We start from the raw sequence: 6323 nt of genomic DNA on the forward strand, positions 1-6323 counted from the left end.
TAGTAGAGACGGGGTTTCACCGTTGTTAGCCAGGATGCTCTTGAACTCCTGACCTCATGATCCACCCACCTTGGCCTCCCAAAGTGCTGGGATTACAGGTGTGAGCCACCACGCCTGGCCTCTCAAAGTTTTTATAGCAAAGCCTTACATTTCATGAGGAACCATGCATTTTATTTTATTTTTGAGATGGGGGATCTCGCTACTTTGCCCAGGCTGGGCTCAAACTCAGGGCTCTCTGGCCTCAGCCTCCCGAGTAGCTGGGTCTGCAGGTGGCTGTCACCGTGCTGGGCCTGGGGTGTGCGTATTAATGATTTTGGAATAGTGTCTGGAAGCCTGTGTGCTTTCCTCTCTTCCTCTCCCCAGAAGGACCTCCCACCTCGTCCTCCCAAAGTGTTGGGATTACAGGTGTGAGCCACCATGTCCCCTCTCTTTGCTATTTTGCCTGGGAGGAGTGTATTAATAATTTTAATTTTAAAGTTCTTTGATTATGTTCTAGTTTGATTATTGATCATTTACTTCTTAGCTATTTATATTCTTCCTTGAGTCATCGGTTTCTGCCCTTTGACAATTTTTCTGTGAATGTTTTGTGTCGATTATATGAGCTTTGTCTGTATTGAGAACATCCACGAATTGTATTATTGCATCTGTTTTGCTAGTTGAGAACATCGACCTGCTGTATTATTGCAAATGTTTTCCTGCTTGCATGTAGTCATTTGTTGTGCATATTAATGAATTTCTATCCACATGACGCCGGAAGGGGATAGAGTGGGTGGGGAGGAAGAGGGAAGGGTCCCCACCTGGAGACCCAGCCTGCAGGCCACTCGGCCACCTGCGCAGAGGTAGGGGAGCAGCAGCCGCTCATGCCCCTGCAATTTGTCCTCATCAGCAGGTGGGGAAACTGAGGCCGGGGAGTTCTCCAGGCCAAGGTCACTCACGGGCAAGTTCCCGCAGCCTTTGGACCCTCCATACATGTCAGGGCCGCTCATGCTTTCCTGGGCCCTTCACTGGTTTGGAGGAACCATCCTGTTTCCCAGAGCGCACTGCCTGTCTCTGAGTGTATGTGTCTCAGTGGCGTCCATGTGTATTTTTCTGTGTGTGTATCTGTGTGAGTCTGTGTGTGTGGTGTGTTTGTGTCTGAGTGTGTGGTGTTAGCGTGTGTCTCAGTGGCGTCCATGCATATTTTTCTGTGTGATGTGTCTGTGTGTGTGTCTCTGAGTGTGTGGTGCCTGCGTGTGTCTCAGTGGTGTCCATGCATATTTTTCTGTGTGGTGTGTCTGTTTGTGTGTGTGTGAATCTACGTGGGTGTTTGTCCATCTTTTTGTCTGGCCTCCTGTCCCCTCTGCACAGAGCAGCTGGGTGGGGATGCTGGTCCTGGGGGCTTGTCAGCAGGATGTGGGCGTGGGGCAGCCCTGGGTGAGGCCTGAGTACAGGCCCCAGGTGCCTCCTGCACAGGGGTGGCTGAGCCGGCTCCTCTGTGGCTCCCGGGTCCCCACCGCCGGTCACTGGGCACCACCTGTCCTGGCCACCCACTCCTGCCCACCCTGCTCTCCGCAGGGGCCTCCTTCCTCTTTCAGCTGTGCGCCCTGGTTGTGGAGGCTCCTAAGGAGGTTGTGGCCTCGGTTTACCACCTGCCTTGGCTCCTTGGTGTTGCCAGACCCTGAAGGCAGCCCATGCCCTGGCTGAGATCCTTCTGGGGCAGGATGTGCTGGAAGCAGCTGAAACATGTGGTGATGTACCAGCTCCTGCTGTCCCCTACATCCCCAGCACCGCCAGCCTTCCCTGGGCTCCTCCAGCTGGCTTCTCTACCCTGTACCTGCCCCACCCTGCTTTCCCCCGACCCTACTACCCCCCAACCAGACTTCCAGCTCCAGGCAGGGTCGCAGCCTCCTGGGCTCCCAGCAGGACAGGCCTCACCCAGACCCCGCAGGAGCCGTGGGACTTGGGCTGGGTCTTTGGGCCTGGCTGCAGCCCCTTTGGACCTGACCTGAGGAGACACCCTGGCTGTGGGAGGCAGGGTGGGGGTGCCGGGCCCAGCACAGAGGTGCCCAGGGTGCAGGCTGGCACTGGCCCGGCAGGGACCGTGGATGCCGCCGTTTCAGGCTCGAAAAGGTTTCCATGCCCCAGAGCCTGAGCCCGGCAGCCCCCGAGGATGTCTTGGGGCCTCTGTGCTCCCCAAAGCCAAGAAGGTTAGGCTTGACCCACAGCCTCTTCCAGGCCGGGGAGGCAGAGGCGCTCCAGGTCGGTAGGGCGGGGCCCACAGCCCAGGGTTTCACGTCCCCAAAACGGGGCAGGGTGCTGGAGGGGCAGGTGTCCACAGGGTGGTCGTTTTGGTCTCTCCTGGACTTGCACGCGTGTAGTGCAGACTGGCTGCCGGCAAAGCCCTGAGCCACATTCATCTGGGCCTTGTTAGGACAACAGGGACGGTGCGGGGTGGGGGGGTTGCGGGGCGCAGGACCACGTCAGTGGAGGGAGGGAGGCCGATATCGGTGCCCAGGCTGGGCCCAGGGGCCAGCGGGTCCTCACCTGGCTTGTGGCTGCCCCTGTTAGGCAGCCCGGATGGAGGGGCTCTTCCAGCCCTGCTGGCCCCGGGAATGCAGGGACTCAACTCCCCCTGGTCTCAGTGGCTCTTCCGGGAGCAACACAGCCTGCCCGAGTCGACACCACCCCTCGGGTTTGAGTCCCTTCTGTCTACCCCTACCCCCGCCAGGGCACTGCCCCCTTGCCCGGAAGAGGCAGCGGCACCCCCAGCCCCTTGGGGAGGATGCCCTGCCGGCCCCACACTCGGTGGATGGGCATTTTGGGGCTAGGATTTAATGGGGGTGACCCTGCCCGACCCCTCTATGTTGGTTCCACGGCGTCAGAAGAAAGCTGTTATTAACCCAGCTTATTTTCTACAAGTCTTGTTTATTGAAAGGATCTGAAAAGCGTAATAAGGCTTTCAATGACATTTAATACATTTTCAAGAAATTAATATGAAACATTAAAATTTACTTCAAAAATCCAAAGTTTTCTAGATCATTCCCATCTCACGCTGCTTTAGAGGTCAGTTCACACCTTCTGTGTTCAGATGAGCGGCTGGAATTCTGAACACTGCCGTCTTCCAGCCCTAACGCTGGGCGCTGGTCCCTCTCTCCTAAGCCCACGGCTGGGCTTCCCCTGTGCCCAGGGTCATGGCGGACTTCAAGCCAGGCCGGCTGCCCAGAATCACACTCAGGGTTTTTGGACGCTCAAGTCCACAGATGCTGAGGTGCCCAGACGAGGGTGAGCAGGGAGACACATGCCTCGGAGAACGTGCCCAGGCTGGGCCAGGCGGCTGCGGGAAGCTCCTCACGGGCAGAGGAGAACGTCTTGTGCCTTCCTTATCGATCTCCAGCAGATGAGGGCAACTTTGTGTGCAAAACTCAGAGAGCAGTTACTCAAAAAAAAGACACCCGGGCAGCAGTAACCAGGACACCAGGGTCCGACCACGGCCTCCACACACCTGTGCCCGTGGAAGACGCGGGCGCCGGGGTAGGCAGCATCCACGTGCTCCACAGCTGCTGGTGCTGGGCAGGCTGGAGACTCACGGGAGAGGCAGGAGGAGAATCAGCGTGTTGAGTCCCTCGCTGTGTTAGTGTGAAAAATTCTCATTACAGTTGCAAATAAAAGGGATCACGATCACTAGCCCCGGAAACCCTCATCTCCCGGACCATCAGGATCGCACTGAACAGAATGGTCCCCTAATGGTCCCTGAGGACAGCGTCTTGCAGAACATAAATGTAAACATTGAATGGCAGACGACTCCCTTCCCCTTGAAATCTTCACAAAAGTGTGTACGAGAAAGTATGTACATCAGCACTTCAGAAAAGGGGCCCACAGGACGTGTGCGGGGTGTGCAGGGTGTGCGGGGTGTGCGGGGTGTTTGAGGGTCCGGATGTGCGTCCCGAGGTCGGAGGGTTGGACGCCCCTGTGTCCAGTTGTTGGGAGGGGTGGGAGGCCTCGCCCTGCTGTTCAGCCCCTTCCCCTCCACTGGGCCGCGTTCCCAGGGACGTGCAACAGGGCGCTCAGGTTAGGAGACCCGAAACCACAGGCAGACAGGACCCGCCACGCCCGCTCCCAGCCCTGGGCACCCCCACCCCCGTTTCCTTCCAGTCCATTTTCCGCGGCAGTTTTTGGTCCTGGGGACCGTCACCGATGCCTCCCACGCACGCTTTCTTCCCTGAAGGGAGACGTCGCTGCGCTGGGCCTCTCGGCGGTCCCCCCCACCCGGGTCCCGGGCCCACTGGCCCCCCGCAGACGCCGCTACACGCTGACTCCAGCCAGGCTGCGCTGGGACCACTTCAACCTCACCTACAGGTGCGCCCTGGCTGGGCCCCGGGGGAGGGGGCGCGGCCGGCGCCCGCTGAGCTCACTCTCCCTGCAGGATCCTCTCCTTCCCGCGGAACCTGCTGAGCCCGCGGGAGACGCGGCGGGCCCTAGCTGCCGCCTTCCGCATGTGGAGCGACGTGTCCCCCTTCAGCTTCCGCGAGGTGGCCCCCGAGCAGCCCAGCGACCTCCGGATAGGTGGGCGCCCGCCCCCGCCCCGGCCCGGCCCTGCGCGCCCGGCCTCTCAGCCCCGTGCTCCCCCCAGGCTTCTACCCGATCAACCACACGGACTGCCTGGTCTCCGCGCTGCACCACTGCTTCGACGGCCCCACGGGGGAGCTGGCCCACGCCTTCTTCCCCCCGCACGGCGGCATCCACTTCGACGACAGCGAGTACTGGGTCCTGGGCCCCACGCGCTACAGCTGGAAGAAAGGTGACCGTCCAGGCTGGCCTCCTGGAGGCCTCTCCTCTGCAGCACAGTGGGCTGCCGCGGTCGGGCTTTGGGGCAGACGGCAGGAGGGACCTTCCGGGGTGGTGGCTGCCACTGGAGTCTAGCAGGCAAGGAGGGGAGCCCGTGGGAGCCCCCATCCCGGCAGCCCTGAACTCCCTTTCCCATCCCCCTGCGCCTCTGGAGCGGGAGCTGGAGCTGCATTCCTGGGGGCCGAGCTCACCGCCTGGGCCCAGAACATTCTTATCTTTCCGTGGCTGCGGCCGAGGGCGGCTCCGCGGCTGCGCTCCAGCAGATACACCGGGCCTCGGGGAGCTGGCCCACGGGCGGCGGGGCTGGGCCCGGGGCTCCCAGGCGCTGACCCCCGGGGCCCGCAGGCGTGTGGCTCACGGACCTGGTGCACGTGGCGGCCCACGAGATCGGCCACGCGCTGGGCCTGATGCACTCACAACACGGCCGGGCGCTCATGCACCTGAACGCCACGCTGCGCGGCTGGAAGGCGTTGTCCCAGGACGAGCTGTGGGGGCTGCACCGGCTCTACGGTGAGTCCCTTTGTCGGGCGGGAGGGCGGGGACCGGGCGGTCCTGAGCCAGGCCGTGCTCCCCACGCTCCCGACAGGATGCCTCGACAGGCTGTTCGTGTGCGCGTCCTGGGCGCGGAGGGGCTTCTGCGACGCTCGCCGGCGGCTCATGAAGAGGCTCTGCCCCAGCAGCTGCGACTTCTGCTACGGTGATGCCCACGGGGCCGGGACAGGGCTGCGTGGGAGCTGGGCCTTGGCCATGGTCGGGGCTGAGGGGGCACTGACGGGGCTCTTTCCCCCACCCGGAGCAGAATTCCCCTTCCCCACGGTGGCCACCACCCCACCGCCCCCCAGGACCAAAACCAGGCTGGTGCCCGAGGGCAGGAACGTGACCTTCCGCTGCGGCCAGAAGATCCTCCACAAGAAAGGGAAAGTGTAGTGAGTGAGCGCCCCGGGCGGTCCTCGGGGTGGGCAGCCCGCGGGCGGCCTTGGGGCAGGGGTGCGGGGCAGGCAGCGGGGGGGGGCTGTGCCTGCAGGAGACGCCCCGCCCCCCTGCAGCTGGTACAAGGACCAGGAGCCCCTGGAGTTCTCCTACCCCGGCTACCTGGCCCTGGGCGAGGCGCACCTGAGCATCATCGCCAACGCCGTCAATGAGGGCACCTACACCTGCGTGGTGCGCCGCCAGCAGCGCGTGCTGACCACCTACTCCTGGCGAGTCCGTGTGCGGGGCTGAGCCCGGCTGATAAAGCACTTTCTCTCTGATGGCTCCTCGCTCATTCTTGGGAGGGCAGCGGGCAGCCAGTCTGGGCAGGTGGACACCCCAGCCCCTGGTCCACCGAGAGCTGGGCGTCCTCGGGGCTGGGCACCCCTGCTTCCCCGCACAGCGGACCACAGGTACAGCACAGGACGGGACGGGCTTTGCTAAGGTGGCCCCTGGGAAAGTGGGATAAGAGGAGGCCCCAGTGACAGGGGCAGCACGTGGAGCAGCACCTGGGGTAGCCCCAGAAGCCT

General features: G+C 62.2%; 1 pseudogene across 1 annotated transcript; it reads left to right on the forward strand.

Annotated features, from left to right (window-relative positions):
- Positions 4202–6071, forward strand: MMP23A (matrix metallopeptidase 23A (pseudogene); annotated as a pseudogene). Its single transcript, NR_002946.1, has 6 exons — positions 4202–4335; positions 4610–4777; positions 5170–5334; positions 5411–5521; positions 5624–5750; positions 5871–6071. The product of NR_002946.1 is annotated as a matrix metallopeptidase 23A (pseudogene) (transcript).

Source organism: Homo sapiens, chromosome 1 (genome assembly GCF_000001405.40).
Source record: "Homo sapiens chromosome 1, GRCh38.p14 Primary Assembly".
Classification (NCBI taxonomy): domain Eukaryota; kingdom Metazoa; phylum Chordata; class Mammalia; order Primates; family Hominidae; genus Homo; species Homo sapiens.